Source organism: Homo sapiens, chromosome 9, assembly GCF_000001405.40.
Source record: "Homo sapiens chromosome 9, GRCh38.p14 Primary Assembly".
Lineage (NCBI taxonomy): Eukaryota > Metazoa > Chordata > Mammalia > Primates > Hominidae > Homo > Homo sapiens.
The window spans coordinates 41,071,665-41,092,875 of record NC_000009.12 but is presented as its reverse complement, the minus strand read 5'-3'; the positions used below and the strand labels follow the sequence as shown (position 1 = coordinate 41,092,875).

Here is a 21,211-nt window from a genome sequence, read left to right as displayed (position 1 = left end):
AACTTTGCACACAACAATGCTTCTGAAGGATATTTGTCCAACAACTGCCTGTCCAACCTGGGCCTGGCATCACCTTTGTTATTGATCTTTGTAGCCAAGGATAATCATTTCCAAATGATCATATAATCTTCCTCATTTTTTCTTTTGTCTTCCTTTACCTCCGTGAATATGCATATAGTTTACTCTGGCTTGCCTATTTCTATTGCAAGGCTCTGTTTCCAAACGAATATCTTTTTCTTGTGGAGAGCCTCTCTCTGTTTGTTATTTAGGTTGATAAGAGAAATGTGAACATTTGAGAGCTCAGGTAAAAGGCCTTAGTCTACAGTGAAACTTTTTTGCACCCTTAGATGCTTACTTCCACTACAACTTGCAGGTGGGCCTTGAAAAGTTCTTGGAATAAGTTTGAGCTTTGATCTTGTCCGGTTCATTTAGCATAGATTCTCAAAATGTGGTCCCTGGACCCACAGCATTAGCATCGCCTGGAGATTGTTAGAAATGCAAATCATCGGGCCTCATTCCAGACCCTCAGCTGGAAACTCTAGGGGCATGGCCAGACCCTCTGTAGCTGAACAAGCCATCCAGGTGGTTTTGATGCAGCTAAAGTTCTGGAACAACTAATGTAGCCCCATTTGGAAAACTTGGCTGTACAGGCCTCCCTAGCTGGTAAGCTGCTAGCATTTTTTGTTTGTTTGTTTTGATACAGGGTCTTGCTCTGTTGACCAGACCGTGACCTCCTGGGTTCAAGCGAGGACTCAGCCTCCTGAGTAGCCGGGACTACAGGTATGTGCCACCACCATGCCCAACTACTTTTTGTATTTTTTTTTTTGTAGGGATGGGGTTTTAGCCCGGGCTAGTCTCAAACTCCTGGACTCAAGCAATCTGCCCACTTTGGCCTCACGAAGTGCTGGGATTATAGGCATGAGCCACTGTGCCCGGCCCTGCCAGCTTTGTATAAGCTGAGGAGTTCTAAAAAATACCTAGACTCAGGGCAAACCCCAGACACTTAAATCAGATTCTCCGGGAGATGAAGCCCAGGCACTGGTATTTTTAAAGTCTCTACAGATGGTTCTAATGTGCTGCTAAGTTAGAGAACTGCTGATCTAGACCAGGCCTTTTCAAACTTAATGTGCACGTGAATTACCTGGACCTTGTTAAAATGCAGATTCAGTCTGCATAGGCCTGGGGTGGAGCCTGAGCTTCTGCATTTTTAACAAGTCTCTAGGGGATGCTGCTGCATCTGGGCTGCTAACTACACTTGGAGATAGGAGGTTCTGGAGAGCAGAGGAAAGAGCATGAACCATAACCTAGGTCCTGACTTCCGAGCCAAGGTTTGCCTTTATGTGGCTGGCAACTTGCTTGGACTCCTACCTCAATTCTTTGGGCCCAAGGTTTGTCCTGCCTCAGAAGGATGTCAAGAAAATTGAGTGAGTAATGCAGAATTGTTTCTTAAAGTGTGTGCAGATGCTCCATGAATTTAGAGAGTATGTGGATGCACATTACTAAATTTTAATAGTTGTGAATATGTTGTTATGAGTACTTAGAACAAGTAATAATGGCTTTTGATGTATAGTAGTAAGAAAGCTTCCTTTTAAAAGGCATGTATTTAAGTTTCAAAAGTGGGGCTATTTAAAAATATATGAAATAAATAATAGTAGAGGTAATTGACAGAGCAAAATTATGAAGGCAGGATGAGAATGACTCAAGTTTGGGAAATGCTGAGAAAGCAGATGCCCAAGGGCTATGAAAACTTAAAAAAATAGGTAGCACTTGATTTTGATTGGCTGAATGAGATGATGTGTTTGATCATTTATGGGGTTGGCATTTGGCAACATGCACTGGGTGGCTGGGATCACTGTTTATTAAAAAATATTTGAGTATCTACTTTGCACTAGATACTCTTTTAGTCTCTTGGAAAAGGGATTGGGGGGGCAGGCAGGATAAAAACAAATCATTTATGCCCATAAGAAAATTGCAGGAAGATAAAAGTCATGAAATAAACTCTGTGCTTCTAATTTAATATTTTTTTATAGATTATGAGAAAAAAGTTTTGCTCACTATCAGCTAGGAAAGCTGTCTTAGCACAACCATTCATTCTTGCACAAATCAAAATCAAGATGAGCCAGAAGGCTCCATTCTGACAGCTTCTAATGGAGAAGCTACATTTACTGGACATGGGGAAAGTTGCTGGGCTCTAAGGACTGTGCTCATTTCTTGAACTAGATAAATGGTCTTGGTGTAGCATAATACCAAAACTTCTTGTCGCAGCCTGTAAGGACAGAACTCAATCAGCCTGAAAAGGAAGTCAGTGACTCCAACTCAACACAGGAATGTTCTGTGATTCCTAAAGAAGGATGTAGGAGTGTGGCACAATTCAACCACAGTCTGTGGCCCTGTGCCTCTGCCTTGACATGAGTGGGATTTCCCAGCTGGTCATTTTCTTCTTATCTAAGACATTGGGAACAAATTACTTGACCTCCTCTGGGCTTCAGTACTCCCACTCATCAAATTAGAGGACTGGGCAGTTGCTAGGCTCTCTTTAGGCATCATATTTTAGTTTCTGTGATTTTAAATTTGAGAAGGGGTGTCTAAGGGAGAATACATAGGGGAGGGGGAAAGGCTTATTAAAAGTGTAGTTAGACACTGAATTTTTAAGAATTGCATTTTGTAATAATACCTTTACCTAATCAGGACTGACAATCTTACCTGATGATAGCACCTGGAGGAATGGCTGCATTCAAAAATAAAAATGAAATAAAACAAGACCTTATTTGAACTTAGCAATAATGCTGATTCCTCTTTTTGATTTGAGGAAGTTATAGCTGTTGTAAATGCTTGAATTGGGTCTGCCCAGGCAAAACGGAGTCAAGAGTCCATGTCTGATGAATTTTAACAATGTAGACAACAAAAAAGGGTTGCTTAAACTGCCCCTCTTTTACCAAAACACATTTACAAATGAAAGAACAACACTTCCATTTTTAAAAAACATTTTTTGAGATGAAGTCTTGCTTTGTCACCCAGAGTGGAGTGCAGTGGTGCGATCTTGGCTCACTGCAAACTTTGCCTCCCGGGTTCAAGTGATTCTCCTGCCTCATCCTCCCGAGTAGCTGGGACGACAGGCTCCCACCACCATTCCTAGCTAATTTTTGTATTTTCAGTAGAGACAGGGTTTCACCATGTTGGCCAGGCTGGTCTCGAACTCCTGACCCCAAATGATCCGCCGACCTCGGCCTCCGAAAGTGCTGGGATTACAGGCGTGAGCCAACACGCGTGGCCAAAAAATTTCCATTTTTAATTGCAGGGTCTGGGCAATTAAAATGCATCCATAATTTCTTGCATCTCTCCGCTCGGGCTTGCATGAATGCAGAGGGATGGGGAGGACTTCTTGAGGCAAGCATCCCCCTCTTGTCGCCTGCCATCTGGAGAGAGAGGGCTGTGATTTATCTCACTTTAATCAGGAAGGACCCGATGGGTGGATGGAGAGGTCTGATGGCTTTGTTGCTCCATGTGGGAAAGAAACGGACAGAGTGAATTTGTGTATGATCCCTAAGGAGAAAGCGTCTTTGTGCTCTATTTCTTTTTGACCTGGAGCCCCTGAAAGCAAGCTAGTTACAAGTTGAAATAAGCCGTTTCTAAAGTGTGATTTTGTTTGTGTATGAGCCTTGATTACAAAGGGGAAAAAAACCCGCTTAATTTACATACAGCAGATGTAGTGCAGGATCACCTGGGCTATCTTTTCAGGTATCAGGAAACTTTGATGAAAGTCACTTGTCTCATCTAGGAGTCATTTCATATTGTTTAGCAGAGCCTGGTATTAACATTTCCTTCCAACTGTTTACTGGAATCTGTGTGTTCCCTTCAAGTGATGCATACTAGGTGCACAGGCTTCCTGCCACTGTCATCCTAATCTTTCCGTGCAGACAGGAGCAGAGGGGAGAGCTCTGAGCCAGGCCCCAGCTTGCTTTTCTTTCCTGACTCAGCCCGGCTCCGCTGCACTTCTCAGCTCTTGCTGTAGGTGGTGCTGTTTGACCATTTTCTTCATGTGACCCTCCACTCGGTAATATAAATTCATTCGGAGGATGACCTGATATCAAAAAAAATTCCTTTTGATTAGTAGAATCAACTTATTTCTTCACACGATACTCTTCCCACTGAGACACATGGAGACAATTCTGACTCCAGGTTTGCAACCTTGAGATTTCTCTCAGATGCAATAAAAAAACAAAGCATTTTGAGTGGCACAGTGATGCCTAGTGCATGATCATGTTTGTCTGCTCAAACATAAAAGGGAAACTGGTGGGTTTGAGGATGCCCAGCAGCACGACAGCTGCCAATGTAAATGAGCGGTATAGAGAGAGAGGGGACGGGAGGGGACTACAAACTTCGGAATATGAGCTGATCGTTTATAAGTTAAAAAAAAAAAAAAAAAAAAAAAGTCAAAAGGGAGCCCAGGATGGTGCAGGAAAAAGGAGAAAGGAAGATTTTCCTTGCAGCTAATCAGGAGAGTTCATAAGGGCTGATTACATGTGTGGAAGCCTTAAGTTCTTTTTTTAAAAAATGTGAAAGTTTGCATGTATGTATGTATGTATGTATGTATGTATGTATAGCTTCGTGTATTACCATTATTATTGCAATCAGCAAATGGATTTACTTCCTTTATCTCATGGGCTCCTTCCCACTCACTTCTGGCAGCACATTTTCCTTTCTCCTTCATCCCAGAACACCAAAGAACAGATGCGCTTCCTAACCCTGGCTCCAGGGGACTTTATACAATGTAAACAGTACACCTCTAAAGTGGTTCACCGCTTAGAGAACGTGTGTCCCATTTTAAAACTGTGAGTCCTTTATATTTTGCAGTGCTTATTTTAATAAGAGACATTGGACTTGTGACTTATTTTTCATGGAGGAGTGAGCTTAATGGTTGAAAGTAATCGATAAACTTGTTTTTCTTCTGATGCCATCAGCCAAGATCCTATGGCAATAGTAAGAGGATGACACTGGGCTGGCACCCCCTCCATAACATATTTGGACCATTTTTTTCTCCCAGAATGCACATGCAATAGCTTTGGTTTGGTAAGAGAGAGATGGTGTACTTGGTTTCCTTCTGTCACACTTTTGGTGAAATGAATTAGACTTTTAAATCAGGAAATTCAGCGAGATGAGTTAGATTTTTACACAAGAACAGTGGAGGACTTCCAGCTGGTTGGGGGAATGATACGGAAATATCTTGCTAAATCAGGATCTGGTGGAATGCTGCTCCCTGGCAGGCTCCTCTTCACAGGGAGCAATCTGTGGGTTGCTTATAGAACAGAGCGAGCAGGAGGAATAGCATGGTCTTGCTCGTGGGAAGACCTGGTGTTCAGATGTTTGTCATTAGGAACTGAGTGTGGGCTTTTTCAAGCTAAACTGAAGCAGCAGTTCTATTAGGAAGAGCCTCCCAGATCAGCATCTTCTGTTTCTGGATACTCTCCCTTTGAAAATCCAGATTTCAGCAAAAAGCTTTGCTAATGGTGAAATTGCACAACTGAAACCCTATGGGAGCAATGGGAAAGATGGAGAAAGAGGTGGTTATATCATGTACTTCAACAGTTTATTTAGAGGCTGTTGACGTTAGAATAACAAGCCAAGACAAACAAAAATACTCATTTTGGATGAAAATATTGTCTTTTCATGTTATTATAGATAGCTGAGTCCTAAGACTTATACAGAAACACATTTTCCTAATGAGTGGCTGATTTTTCTGGTCGTGCAAGTAATATCCAAATTATTGTACAAATTTTTGGCTCAGGAGCAAACATTGTATTGCATATTGAGCTAATCACTTGCCCTTTCTAAGGTAAGCCCTTACCTCTGCTTTCCCTTCATCTTGTCATTTCTGTTTGTTGGGTACAGGTTTCCTGTTGGTTCTTTCTTTTGGCTCTGATGTAACATGAATGCAGTTCTTAACATCCTTTCAGACATAAACACAACTTAGCTCATTGTTTCTGAGTTCATATAGAGGTTTTCTTGCCCCTGAGACTTTCATGTCAGACAGCTGGATGTTGCTGTGTTCAAGGCTCTATATGTTGATTTTGTATCCTACAACTTTACTGATTTCACCTATCAGTTCAGTTCTAACAGTTTTCAAATTTTATTTATTTGTTTTTGTTTTTTAAATATTGTACGTTTCATTTTAGAGTCAGGAGGGTAGATGTACAGGTTTCTTACACAGGTATATTGCATGGTGCTGAGGTTTGGGCTTCTAATGATCCCACCACCCAAGCAGTGAGCATAGTAATCGATAGGTAGTTTTTCAACCCTTGCTCCCACCATCCTTCCCTCCCACCTTTGGAGTCCCCCAGTGTCTATTGTTCCCTTCTTTGTGTTGAGTTCTAACCTTTTTTTAGTGAAGTTTGTAGGGTTTTCTATATATAACAAGATCATGCTGTCAGTAGAGACAGTTTCACTTCTTCCTTTCCTATTAGGATGCCTTTTATTTCTTTCTTTTGCCTAATTACCCTGAGAAGTGGTGTCCGTGGGCATCCTTGTCTTGTTCCTGATGGTAGAAGAAAAGTTTCAACTTTTCACCACTGATTATGCTGTTAGCTATGGGTTTGTCATATATGGCCTTTATTTTGTTGGGATACAGTCCCTCAATACGTGATCTGCTGGGTGTTTTTTTTTTTTTTAACCATGAAAGGGTTTCAAATTTTGTCAAAAGCTTTTTCTGTATCTATTGAGATGGCCATATAGTTTCTATCCTTTATTTTTCTAATATGGTATATTATATGTATTGATTTGCTTATGTTGAACCATGACATGATCATGGTGAATGATTCTTTCAATGTGCTATTGAATTTGGTTTGCTAGGATTTTGTTGAGGATTTCTGCATCTATGTAGATCAAGGATATTGGCCTGTAATTTTCCTTTCTTGTAGTGTTCTTGTCTGGCTTTGGAATCAGGGTAATGCTGGCCCTGTAAGATGAGTTTGGAAGTATTCCCTCCACTTCAGCTTTTTGGAAGAGTTTGAGAAGGACTGGTATTAGTTCTTCTTAAAATATTTGGTAGAATTAATCTGGGAAGTCATCTGGTTTTGGGTTTTTCATTGATAGGATACATTTTCTTACTGATTCAACCTCCTTGCTTGCTATTAGTCTGTTCAGATTTTTTAATTTCTTCATGAGTCAATCTTGGTAGGTTTTATGTGTCTGGGAATTTATCCATTTCTTCTAGATGATCCAATTAGTTAGTGTGTAATTATACCTAGCAGTTTCTTAGGATCCTTTGTATTTCTGTGATATTGGCTATGATGTTTCATCTTTCATTTCTGATTTTATGCTATATTGAAAACATGAGGCATAGCAGGTAGGGGGCACTGGTCAGGACTTGGGGTATAAACTGGCAGATGTTAAGGTGGGTGATTCTGGTTAACTCAGAAACTCCGAAGTCCCGTGTGGAAGAATTAACTGCCTGTACTCACCTAGTAATGTATATCCTTGGTCAAAAAGAGATCCAGCTGAGAATGTTGGATGAAGGGACCAAATCAATATTCATCATTATATTGAAAACAAGTCAGATTGGCTGTGGTCTTTTGACAGCAGGTCAGTGGCTAAGTCTATTTGAACAAAGTTAGGGCAGGTTCAAGGGAGAATCCTGAGATCGGTATTCTTTGTTCCATACAACCTTGCCTTTCAGTTTCTTCTCCCCATGCCTCCAGGATGTCCCTGCACAGCCTGTAGGGCCCCCTCCTTCAGTACCTTGCCTTACGAAGGGGAGAAAATGAGTTTTCCAATGTTAGCATATATTTAGCCTTCCAAAATTTCTATTTCTATTTTAGGGGAGCTCTAGGAGAACAGCAGATTACTCTAAATCCCCAGGTAAAAATCTGAAATGGTGGAATTTCATATGACCAGGAGACATATTTTGGGGCAAGTGGGCTTTTCACAATCACTTGGACATGAAGGCATCTGCTTCTTCTATGCCTAAAATATTCCTTCAATTTAGTAGTTTAATTCCTCTTCCTCTTTTTCAAATTTCAAGACAATACATGTAGTGACTGAACAATTTGGATCCAAGTTTCACTATTTAACTGCCAGTGTGACCTTGGGCGAGTCACTTAATCTTTTCAAGGCTCAATTTCATCATGTAAAGTGGAAGTACAAACAATCCCTGACTTACAATATTTTGACTTATGATTTTTCAACTTTAAGATAGTTTGAAAGCAATACACATTCAGCAGAAGCTGTACTTTGAGTACCCATACAACCATTCTGTTTTCCACTTTCAGTACAGTATTCATTATATTACATGAGATATTCAAAGCCCACTTTATTATAAAATGGGCTTTCTGTTAGATGATTTTGCCTAACTGTAGGTTAATGTGAGTGTTTAAGGTAGGCCGAGCTAAGCTATGATGTTTAGTAGGTTAAGTGTATTAAATGCATTTTCAGCTTACAATATTTTCATAAGTTTATTGGAATATAACCCCATTGTAAATTGAGGGGTATTTGTAATAATGATATCTCTTCAAGGAGACTTTGTGAGCCTCTCATAGGAAAATGCATACACAGATGCATATAAATATATAATCTTTCTTTTCCATACATATGATATTCTTTAAGGATATTCAAAAATCTGGAAACAGTTGCCTCCAGGGAGATAAAAGGTAGTGGGTTGGGAAGCTTTTAACTGTATACGCTTTTGTACCTTTTGCATTTTGAATCAGATGAATGTATAATCTACATAAAATATTAAGATTAAAACATCACCAAATAACTTATCAGGAGTTTGGTGAACATAAGGGAAGGACACCTATGGTGGCTGTATTTTATTCAGTGTTGGTCACTGTTGGGCACTTCATAGAGCTTATTTCATTTCATCTTCACAAGTGCCATAGGAGGAAGGGGCCCCAGAGGGATTCATGGTTAGAATAGCAGAGTAGGAGCATTTGGCAGCTATATTCTGTGTAGGTGATAACTTTAAAGATATTTTTGTTATAAAATGTTTCAAACATACAAAAAATATAGAGAAGCAGTTTTCTATAGTTATTAAATATTCTTAATGGGTAGTCACAGAAATTATCATCCAAAGTGGGATATTCTTGAGAGAAAAAGGAGGTTCTATTTATAATTATGGTGGGATAACAAACTTAAGATGAACAGCTCTAGACAAACTGGGTTGTATGGTCCCTGGAAAACAAGGATTACTGTAAATGTGAGTCCCGCCTTGTGCTTCTCTCTGTCCCACCAAGAAAATATGATCTTGATACAGATGTTCATTGTGTCAAGGCAACCATGGCAACCATGATCTAGATACACTGTTCAAGTTTTATGCTGATCCTACCTATATATGTCTCAGGAACTTTCCAGAGTTTCCTTTGAGTGCTTCTAAATTTTGCATAAATGGTATGTTGTCCCTTGTCTCTTTTTAAAACCAGTAAGCCATTTTCCCTTATTTTCCTGGAAAATTAAAGGAACAAAGACCAGGAAATAACAATGTATTAGCTAAGGTTCTGTTGATTGAAAGCAACAGAACCTAATTCTGGCTAGCTTAAACCATGCTAGGATTTAATGAAGAATACTGCAGAATCTTAGATATCTTATGACTGGGAAAGAGGAGGTTCAGGCAGTTCCTGGGATGTCAGCAACAGGTAGCTGTCAATTAACTGCCCCCACACCACCCACTGCTGCCGTCATCAATATAGCACACCACAATGGCTCCCAGCCTCTGTACGTCTGGGTTCCGGTGTTCAAATTCTAGAGACAGCAAGAGAAATCCCATTGAGTCAGGGATCCTTCCCTGGGTCACACTCCCTGCATATGGTCAGAAATGCAGGATTATGTACTAAAGACACAGCTAAAGAGGACCCACTTCACTGTTTTGGGACCATTTGCAGGGGAGGCAAAATTAAAGAGGTGATAACCATAAGTTTGCAGGAAAAAAAAAAAATTGGAGAAGAGAAGGATAACACTATGCTACAGTTTCTTCTGAAAATGGACGAAGGGAATAGCATTTCCATTTGGAAATTCTCTCCTGGCATTTCAATATTTATGGATTCTGAATTCTGAGAAAAATCAGTTGAGAAATTAGGAAAATGGGAAGGAACATTCTAATTTTCCTGTGAAAATTACAGCTTAATAGTCAGTATAGAGAACTTACTGGCTTGAAGAAATGCACTGACTTCAAGTCAAGCAAGATGAGGAAGCACTGACACGTGGAGATGAAAGTTAAGGTGAACAGGACAGGAGCAGTAATGGAGCCTCAGTCACACTTTCTTGTATCTGTTGCTGTGTTATAAGTGTGTGTTCATGGCCTTGTCCACTGCTAACAGTGAATCATTTCTGCAAATAAATATTAATGTGTTCGTAGGCATAGTATATGTTTTACAAATCCTATGAGAGGTTTTCTAAGAAATGCCAAGTTTTAGAAACAAAATATGCCCTTAAATCGGCAATTTTGACAGTTGCTTCTTTCTAGTGCTATTCGTCTTGCCAGGAGATCAGAATGTTATGTTATTTAAATGGTATTGGAGGGGATGATTGATGCCTTGTTTAACAATGTCATGTAAACAATGATTAAAGCATTAAGTATTTGTGGTGTTACCTTTCAATCTTTAAAGGACTTTTCTTTAGCATTTATTTTGTGATAATATTCATTTCTTTTTAATGTTTTCTCTATTAATGCTATTGGATTTTATAATCTTGTTACAATATGTTGGCTCATAATAATAATAAATCATCATTTGTTATCATATCTTTTTAAAACAGAAGACTACTAAAACTTTTCATATAATCCTGTTACAGAAAAAAAACGACTATTTGCTTGTTATTATAGTCACTTATTATTTTTCAAAAACTTGTAAGTGAAGTGTTATGAAAATCATATGAATTTGGGAATTCCCAAGCATTCTCAGAAATTCTATTTCCTTGTTCCCAAATCCCAATGATTAATATCTGCCAGGAGTCGGAAAACAGTGAAAGGAAGTAACATCCTATGTTGGATACCTGGTAGGGTTAGTGAAGAAACGTTATTGCTGAGCTCTGTGTTACGCTCACAAATGATGCCATTGAGGAAGTCACACTTGTTGAAAGGAACGCAGATACACAAAGAGTTTTGCTGCTGTCTGTTGGATAAGAACCCCCTGGTCGATTTCAGCTCCTACTGCAAGTTAGAAAAATCAATCCAATGATAAATGAAAAGTGACCAGTGTGCTGGGAAATAACTTATTTTTTGGCTTCAGAGGAAATTTTAGAAACAGTGCCAAGTGAAACGTAAAAACAAACTATGAAGACGTTCATGAATTTCCCTCTGAAGCTGACAGCCGTATTTTAGCAGATGGAACTCCTACTATTAGCCCAACTCTTGGGTTGAAACAGTGTGTCCAGGAAACCCTATGTTAAAATGCAATGTGTTGGGGATATTGTTCCTCTATTTGCTTGAGTTAATTTTCAAATTAGTGTACTCTTGCTTAGCTGTGCTCTGAGGGAATGAACAAAAGATTGGTAAACTCTGATGGAGAACACTGGTCAGGCAGGGCACATAGAATCCCTGGGGATGGTGGTTCCTGACAAATGGGGGAGGAGGACCTGAGCCAGGCTTGGGCTGGGCTGGAGGAACATGAAGATGGGATCTACTCACAACCCCCAAAACTGAGGGCTCCTGATAACACATTATTTCACCCTCAGCCATGCAAGTTCATTATTTTTATGGATAAAATAGCTTTAAAAAACTAATTTACATTGAAATGTTAAAATATTTATATAGAGATTAGAAATATTTATATAGAGATTATTGGGAATCCCCTCCTAAAGCCCAAACATAAAAACTACCAAAAAAAAAAAAAAATTCCGTGTAGGCTAAGATTGCAAATGACTGATGGAATGTAATTTAAATTAAACATGGAAAATATATTTCCTCTTTAATAAAGATCTAAATTCTATTCTTTTTAGGAGCCTTCAGAAATGAAATTCAACTATTAAAAAAAGTATAGAGAAGCCTTTAGAAAAGAAACTTTTCTTTTGCTGTATTATATAATAAAGAACTTTGATGAGAATAGTTCTAAAGTGTTTAATAATCGATTACACTGATGTTTCTAGGTATTGTGGGGAACACCTAGAAATTAAATCTTCATCTTTGGCAGATCAGAGGCCTATTAATTTTAGGTAAAACAATTAAAATCTGCTTTTAATAAATCACAAATTTTGCAAGTTAGCCATTAATAGTAAGCGCTTTTCAAAGTTGGGCCCAATACATGAAAAAGCCAGAAAAACATACCTGCATTAGTTTTGCCCATCACCTTCTTAGGAGATTTATTAACAGCATTCAATATTTTAGGGAGGCTGGATGTGGTGGCTCATGCATGTAATCCCAGCACTTTGGGAGGCTGAGGTGGGAGGATGGCTTGAGGCCAGGAGTTCAAGACCAGCCTGGTCAACCTAGTGAGCCCCTCGGTCTCTCTGAAAAGAAAAAAAAATTTAGGTATCCTGTGGCTACCTCCAAAAACAAACTCCAGAGGAACTGAATTTTTTTTTTATTTCATGTGTTGGGATAATGGCTTCTTTTGCAGTTACTTATGAAGAATTTAAGGGTCAGTAAAAATATTTTTTCATCCTTAATAACATGAATTCTCTAATTTGTATGTGATATAATGCTAGATATTGTGCCAAAAGTGTTACATAGACATAATCCATGCCCATTTTCAAAGATAATACTAATATAGAGAATAAGAATCATTATTATTGTAGTAATTATTATTTTAGTAATAGTAGTAATAATCAAAACAATTACATCAAACACTTATTAAACCCTTATTATGTGACAGGTACTGTGTAAGCAATCTCCACATATTAGCTCCTTAAATGTGATCACTAACCCCATGAGGTAGGTAGCATTATGTCCGTTTTATAGATGCAGAAACTGAGCTTTGAAGAGGGAAAGCAACTTGCCCAAGGCCATGCAGGCAGTCATTGATAAGGGTGGGAAGCGAGAAGTTGAAGTCTGAGATGTAAGTTCACAGACACGAGTACGCAAACGTGTACAAGATACTCGTATGACATGTGGGGTTGCTTGAAATATGTAATTGACTTTCCCCAGCACAAGAAAGTGTTTGGACAGATTTCAAAGGGATCTAACACTTCCTCAGAGGACTGCCCTACGACATTTTTCCGTGTGCTTTTCTGCCTCTTGTCCTATACTTTTGGCATTTCTTCTGCTCTTAGAGGCAATGAGTCAACAGCATATTTTTAGCACCTCCTGTGTGCATAGAAGTGGCCCCTAACTCAATGGGAGTGTATAACTACCATGGGCCAAATCAGTGTGCTTTCCTGTCAGCCAGGGGATTATAGAAGAACACGCTCCCCTGATTCCAACAGAACTTGCTGCCACTCTGATGTCTTCATTGTAAGGCCTCTAAATGAATGTTCAAGAAATTCATGTTAAAGGCACGTGTCATATGTGTAACTTGTAAACATTTGTGTACTTGTCTCTGTGTCCTTACACCTCAGGCTTCAACTCTTGTTTTTACCTTTATCAATGACTACCTGTGTGCTGTGTGGCTTTGGACCAATTGCTCACCCCCTCTAAAGCTCAGTTTCTGCACCTGTAAAATGGATATAATGCCATATATACATAGATATAGATATACATACACAAATATATATACACACATATATATGTGTGTATATACATATATATATAATATACAAACTGAAATATATAGTTATATAAATATTTCAGTTTAAGTTTCAAAAATCACTGGAGGGTATTTTTATAATACCCTTCGGCAATTTTACCTGCTGCCTTTGCACATTCTGGTGAATTTCTAAATGGAAGTCTGATAGAGATTAATCTTTTAATGCATCATAAATAAAAAAGAAAATCACAGAATGATGTAGCTGGAGAGGACCCTGGGGATCTAAAGTGTTTCATGAGAGATTAATGTCCTTGATCTGTTTGTAAGTGTTTTGGAAAAATCTTCCATGGTCAAATAAAACTTGGCAATGTTGGATTAAAGTTAAATAGGTTTTTTTTCCGGCAGAACTTCATAGTCTTTAATATGCTAATGTGTTTTGTGAATCTACAAGGAATGAAGTGTTTCAATACTTATTTTACCCAGATTCTCATTTTGGGACAGGCTGGTCAAGCTGAGTCAGCTAGTATATTCTCTAGATGGAGATGATGGCTGATGCCTTTTTGAGAGCAAGAGAGTCCCCAGGGGAAGCAAGGGTATATCAGTTGCTCCTATTTCATGCCAAGGATCCTCAGTCTTTAGAGGCTCAGAGAAGGCTGAAAGGCTACTCTAGGCTATCAGGGCTACCATTCATTGTGACCCATGCTACAGAGAAGCTTTGAGCTCAGTGCAAATGAGTGACCAGCCCTTGAGAATCAGGAAAATTTATTTATTCCTGACCTAGTCCACTGAGGACATACAAGGAATGGGGCAGGGGAGTGTCACCAGCTTTGGTTACAAGCTAGTCTGATTCTCTTTCGTTAAGAAAACTGGTCCCTGTGAGTTTAGATTGGGAAGCACCAGGTTAAAAAATTTTTAGGCCAGGAGTGGTGGCCACTGTACTCCAGCCTGGGTGACAGAGTGAGAATCTGTCTTAAAAAAAAAAAAAAAAAGTTAAGTGATGTCTTCTGTTGAGGACCTCTCAGAACTTTTAATATGAAAGTGTGCATTGTGAAGAATGGGAGTAGAGTGTACAGGAGTTTTAAAAGCTACTTGGTCATGAAACTCTTGCTTTGTGCAGGATTCGAGGGGCACTAACATTCTGAGGAAAATATTTTGGGAAACATTGATCTAATCCAAACTTCTCATTTTACCAGCAAACAACTGTGGGGCCCTCTAAGTTTCCTTTCTCCATCATTGTGACAAATTCATTGGAATTAATTCAATTAAACCTGGGGTCAGCTTTGAAGAGATTTATTTAGCAGGTAAATCTGTTTTGTACATTTTGAGGGAGTTCTGAGTTTCCATAGTCAAAAACCACAGATCAATTTAACCAACCTTTATGGAATATCACCTATGGCCCAAAGACCCTTTAGCTACAGTGATGGTCTACGAAAATATAAACTGTAATTCTTGCAATACAGGAGATGAGTAATAATGGTAAATATAATGATGATGACATCATGAATAGCTAACATTTATTGAATGCCTTTCTATTAGTCAGGCACTTTACTAAGTATTTTAATCCTCCCAACAATTTATGAGGTAGGGATTATAATAATTCCCATCTTATAGTGAGGACACTGAGGTTAGGAAATTATCCTAGCCTAAATGTTAAGTATAAGCATGAATAGAAAGGTGTTATCAGCCTATAAGACATTCCTTTATGAGTGATACAAAGTCCTATATAAATTCAGAGAAAAGAAAAGTGGTTTTAGAAATCCTTGATCAGTGAGTGTGAAGCACGTGGTGGCCCGGTTACTGTTTGGTTGCCCATCTGTCCTCCCTCTGGGGATCAGCACCCCCTTACTTTGGAAGAATTGTTTTCCTTTTCACTGTAAGGTTCTTTCTGGCTATGCGGTGGGGCACATTGCCTCAAACTAGCCCTGTTCCAGTCTTTGAGAACCTTGAAATTGGAACCAAGGGAAGAGGATTGCCTCTTGAATGGTAATTCTCTGAAATCTAGTCTGAGGTGCTGGTGCTTAATCCCTGGGTCTGTGGAAGGAGCTGGGCTGTGAGAGGGGAGAATGATGTTGATGTCAAGAGAGAGGCAGGTGCTAGGAGCAGAGAGATGGAGGCCTGGAGAGTTTCTGGGCTTCTCTGAGGCTTAGGGTTTGGATCATTGTCTTTGTTACTGGAACAAAGGATTTACCATACCTGCTCTTCTGGGAATGAAACTGTCCTGCTTTGCAAAATAAAGTGTCATTAGAAAGAGATCTTAAAAACCCCACACCATAGACAGGTGCACAGATCCCTAGAAGTGTTAAAGTTCTGTCTGTTGGATGCTAAGCCAAGACTCTTAAGTATGTTCTAAAGAGAAACTGGTGTGTGTAGGCTGTGCACTCCCAGGGAGATAAAAAGTTAGGAACTTTATGGGTTGGGCTTGGTGGCTCACACCTGTAATCCCAGCACTGTGGGAGGCTAAAGTGGGCAGATTGATTGAGCTGAGGAGTTCGAGACCAGCCTAGGCAACATGGTGAAACCCCATGTCTACAAAAACTACAAAAATTAGCTGGGCGTGGTGGCATGTACCTGTAGGCGGGAGGATCGCTTGAGCCCAAGAGGGAGAGGGTGCAGTGAGCCATGATTGTGCCACTGCACTCCACCTGGGTGACAGGAACTTTATGGGGAATGGGATCTTGGAGACTGAGTAGAGACTAGAGGAAAAAAAAAAAAAAACTACCTCCCCAACTGGCCACACTATTCTTTTAAAAAAATGTTAATTGACAAATTAAAATTGTATGTATTTACGGAGGTATAATGTGATGTTATGATATATGTATACATTGTGGAATAATTAAATCCAGAGAATTAATAGATTCATCACCTCAAAACCTATCTTTTTTGTGGTGAGAACATTTGAAATTTATTGTCTTAGCAATTTTGAAATACACAATACTTCATTGTTAACTACAGTCACCATGCTGTGCTGTAGATCTCAACAAAATATATTCTTCCTGTCTCAACTAAAACACTGTACTCTTTGACAACATTTCCCCATTCCTCTCACCCCCTCCAAAAACACCCATTCTTTATGTTGAAGAGAATGGCTAAAAAGTCCCAGCAGGTTTCAACTGACGGCTTCAGTGGTTTTCCCATCACACTTCAATGTTATTAATAAAAAGGGGAGGGGCAATACATAATTCGGACAGGCTGAAAGTACCATTGTAACCACTTTCTTGACTTCACAGAAAAAGTCCTCTTGTTTTCATCTGTAAAATGGGAACTGCGTGAATACCATTCTTCTTTTCTTCAGCCTCCAAAGAAAAAACAGATGCAAAGCCTTTTATCAATTGCAAAACAGTATACAATGTGTGTTATTACTCACAGTTGTCTTACTGTGACCAAACACTTTATAAGCCTGCTGCAAGTCAGCCTTACTCTCAGGAAGTGGACAATATTTGGGGAAGGAGAAGCAGCAGGATATTTCAGGACAGTAGCCTTGGTGGGTCCAAAAATTCATTGAGAGAAATGGGAGATAGAACTTTCTTCCTGCTTTGGGTTTTATCCTGTTAGTCTTTTCTCTCTTCACTCCTATTTTCTATGGAGAATTTCCTGGTTTTGGAGTTTGGGTGCGTTTTATGGAGAGGAGGCAGAAAATCTTTAGCTCCAGCAGAATGAAAGGATACATGCAAAGGAACCTAGCACAGTATCTGGTACCCAGTTCTCCTTTAACTTGGCTTTATTCATTCACTCCTGGTAGGGCATTAATAAGGGATTTAGCCCCCTCCTATTGAAGACGATTAATTCAGGGAAGAGTTCAGACAGTGTGGACAGATACAGTGTAGGACAAGCCTGTTTCTAAGGCAGGAGCTGGGTAGGGAGGGTGAGAAGGGCGAGAAGAATAGGGAGATATGTGTCATCTGTGTTGCTGCTGTTGCAACCACCACAACAAACAAGCAAGTGAAAAAAAAAAAAAAATTGTCCATACCGGAAAGTGTGCTGTTTTGGAGGAGGCTGGGGAAAGTGTGGATGGCTTGAGTGGGTCCTGTTGGATTGAAGTCTGACAGTGGTGATTCCCTTCAACAAATGGTCGGGGTGGGAGGGTACGTACACACACACACACACACACACACACACACACACACACACACACACACACACACAGCACGCAGCGCCCAGCCTCCGATTTCAGCGCTGGCAGGAGATAACCATTCTTAGCTCGCCTTTCCAGGGTTATTTTTGGCTGAGGCTGTTCGCTGATGGCAAAAGGTTTCAGCCCCCTCCCAAATCCCTCCCCGTCCTTGTTCTAAAGAGAAACTGGTGCGCACTCCCAAGGAGATAGGGAGACGGGCCGGGCGCCGGAGAGGAACCCGGACTCTGCCCAAAGTCTCGCCGCCCGCCGGCTGTTTTCTGGCGGAGGGTGTGTCCCGGAGGGCGGCGAGCGCGGGTGAAGGCTGGGGCCAGGCGCGGGTGGAGGCGTCACCGGGGTCGGGCTAGCAGGCCCTGGAATCAGGCTTTTGGGACATCCCGAAAGTGAGTCCAACTTGGGGAGAAACTGAGGGCACCTCGGGCGGTCTGGCAGCGGAGAAGGTGGGCGGGAGAAAACTTTACAGGAAGGCAGAAGCAATCTCTGCCGAGGGAGTCAGCGAGCGGCCGCGCGGAGAGGAGGGGCGGGCGGTCCCCAGGCGGGCGGGCGCAGGGCGCAGGGCGCCGACCTGCTGGAGAGGGGGCCCCGGGCGCGAGGCGGAGTCCCGGCGCGCAGCCAGGCTGGTGGGGGCCCCCGGCAGGCTGCAGATTCCCTCCGGCTCCGGGAGCCGCAGCAGGACCGGCCAGGAGGCGCCATAGAGGGGAGCCCCATCCCGGTGCTGACAGTGCCCACCGCGCCCTACGAGGACCAGCGGCCGTCCGGCGGCGGGGGTCTGCGGCGACCCACCGGCCTCTTCGAGGGCCAGCGCAACTACCTGCCCAACTTTATCCAGAGCGTGCTGTCGTCCATCGACCTGCGCGACCGTCAGGGCTGCACCATGGTGGTGGGCAGCGACGGCAGGTACTTTAGCAGGACGGCCATCGAGATCGTGGTGCAGATGGCCGCGGCCAACGGGGTGAGTGTCCGGATGCCCTTCGCTTCCCGCCGCGCCGTCGCCATGCCCTCTCCTAGCCCTTGTCCCCCTGCTGCCTCCGGGCCCAGTTGGGAGGCCCCTGCCCGGCCCCAGCTTTGCTACCTCACTCCCACGTCCTCACCCTCCAGCGCCCCACTCCCGCCGCGCTCGCAGCCTCCCCGGCGCACCCCGGACACTGGGTTCTATTAGTACCCACCGCCCCCAAAAGCCTTGAGGGGTTTCCGTCGTTCCTGGAGCCACTCCGGGCGCCCTGGACTCTTCTCTGACTCTGCGCACATCCCGCACCTGCTCATTTTTCTTTCGGACATTCTCTTACCCGGCCCTGTAGATTCCAAGGCAGCTCCCAGTTTTCCATATTGTTCCCAACGCGTTCACTGCCCACAGTCCCCACACAAACTTCTTTCGCAGGCTCACAACATAGTCCTTCTGCCCCGTGCCCTTTTTGCAATAATCTGCCAGTCCCCTAAGTCTTAGCTCTGCCTATTTAACAGTAGTGGTGTGTCAGAACACACACACACACACACACACACACACACGATCCCTGACATATTTGGCAAGAGCAGGCCCTGAAGGTTTTTAATATTTTGGTTCTTTAACCCAGTGGAATTACTGAATGATTTATTTAATTAGGGTAGGGATGGAGTGGATCCATTTGTTTGATGCTAAACAGCCTGAGCTCGCAGTTCCCAGGGGGCATATCTCTAAATGGTCTGAAATGAGATTTGCAGTGGTTTTCTTAATGCAATTCCCAACTTCTCTCCAAATGCCTTTTTGACATTTGACAACATTTCATGCCTCTTCCCCTTTCGGTTTTCATCCTTGTTTTCTCTCCCTTCTCCCACGAACTCGGTAGTCTTCTGCAATCCAGATTCTCAGACTTCGGGTTTTTCTCCCTCTGCCCCTTTCCTCTCTGTCCTATAACTAGAAGCACCTTTTGGCATAGACCCATATCCCAGTTTCCTCTTTCCCAGGTCCAGCAGCATCTCAAGGACATCTACAAGAGGGATACCTAATTTCAGGGGTCTCTGAATTATATGTGGGAAACATCGTCTAAAAAAGTAATTTTATCCTTATTCATGCAACCAGACCCACACTCATAGAACTTTTCTTTAAGGGGAGTGTCTTGCAGATGTATAAATGAGTGTTAACATCTTTAAAAGCGAAACTGAACAATTCCCTGGCATTTGAATTCCCTCCTTCCTTCCCAACCCTCTCCTTTTCATTTTCTCATTTATTATTAAAAACAATTTTAAAGGATTTCCATGCTTCATATTTATCTACTATAATTCCTCCTTCTCGGTGTTGCAGGGATGGGGAAAGAGGATTTTTTTAAAAACACAATAAAAAGCAATTGGGAGAAACAGGGCCAGTGGTGTTGGGGTGGGTAGTGGAATTGTGATTTTTGACTCCAGTAGACAATGATGCTGGATATATGGGGTTTGATTTCTCTCTGGCTCCTCACTTGGGATTGATGAAGTTTGGCTAGAATCAGGGAGTTGAAGAGAGGTTGACAAATGGTCTTTCATATTTTTTGAAGCTACGGTTGTTGATTTGCATGGGAAAATTATTATGTCTTATTATTTCTTGTCCCACTTTACCATAAGGGCTCCTCAGCTTCTTACTTCAATGGGCCTTCTATGACAAACACACTTTATTAACTCTAAGAGTGGAATTTATTTTAACAGATAATTAGCATAGGTCAATATATGCTTAAAATAGAGTCAAATTAAACCTACTAGCTGTTATAAAGGACAGATGACAAATTAAAATCCACATAGAAGCATCGACTCTTAAAGAATCTGAAAGTACTACTTCTAAGAGGGGTGGGCATGGGTGAAGGGAATGGTGGACATGTTTCAGAATTTCAAACAGCCAACTTTAACCAATCTTTTCCTCATTTTGTTCACCTTCTTGGGGGCTTATGCTAAAGTGAAGTGAATAGCCATAAGGCTGGCTTCAGGAGAAAGGTGGTCTAAAAGAACTGGATAATTATAAGCAAAATTGGTCTTGAATGATTGAAAATTGATGAGAATGTGCTTGTCTCCTGATTTGGCATTCTGAGTTAGACTCAGGAATACTGAACTTGGATCCCAAAGGCTTTGGTCTTTTTTGATATCCTATTGGATAATCATAAGCAGGCTAGAAAAATAGAAAACTAGAATTTATTATTTTTGAACTGACAAATCTGACCAGTGGGCTGCATTCTCTATATCTGAACAATCTTGGTTTTGATGGAAAAAGTTAATTTTAAAAAGCAATTTTCATTTTTTAAATTAAATTTCATTTTTTTTTGAGACAGGGTCTCACTTTGTTGCCCAGGCTGGAGTGCAATGGCACAGTCTTGGCTCACTGTAGCCTTGACCTCCCCAGATTCAGGTGATCTTCCCACCTCAGCCTCCTGAGTAGCTGGGGCTATAGGTGCATGCCACTATGCACAGCTTATTTTTGTGTTTTTACTACTCATAGGGTTTCTCTGTGTTGCCCAGTCTAGTCTCAAACTCCTGA

General features: G+C 41.3%; 2 long non-coding RNA genes and 1 pseudogene across 3 annotated transcripts in view, besides 1 other annotated feature; 1 reads left to right on the top strand and 2 right to left on the bottom strand.

Annotated features, from left to right (window-relative positions):
• Positions 1-929: 929 nt before the first annotated feature.
• On the bottom strand, positions 930-12,388 carry LOC105376058 (uncharacterized). The gene is made up of 3 exons (XR_929659.4): positions 12,251-12,388; positions 10,981-11,137; positions 930-5,529 (listed from the first exon to the last, which is right to left on the bottom strand). It is a non-coding gene; the product is annotated as an uncharacterized LOC105376058 (long non-coding RNA).
• Positions 12,389-16,454: 4,066 nt separating this feature from the next.
• On the bottom strand, positions 16,455-18,367 carry LOC124902161 (uncharacterized). Its single transcript, XR_007061510.1, has 2 exons — positions 17,575-18,367; positions 16,455-16,900 (listed from the first exon to the last, which is right to left on the bottom strand). It is a non-coding gene; the product is annotated as an uncharacterized LOC124902161 (long non-coding RNA).
• PGM5P2 (phosphoglucomutase 5 pseudogene 2) overlaps positions 18,251-21,211 on the top strand; it is a 67,615-nt pseudogene continuing 64,654 nt past the window's right edge. Inside the window, exon 1 of the transcript NR_002836.2 lies at positions 18,251-18,688. The product of NR_002836.2 is annotated as a phosphoglucomutase 5 pseudogene 2 (transcript). The remainder of the gene's footprint in view (positions 18,689-21,211) is intronic.
• Positions 18,261-18,370: a silencer, noted in NCBI's record as "silent region_19920". NCBI's record gives its function as "represses an Ori minimal core promoter by ATAC-STARR-seq in GM12878 lymphoblastoid cells {active_cell/tissue: GM12878}" and the evidence as "EXISTENCE:reporter gene assay evidence [ECO:0000049][PMID:35858748]".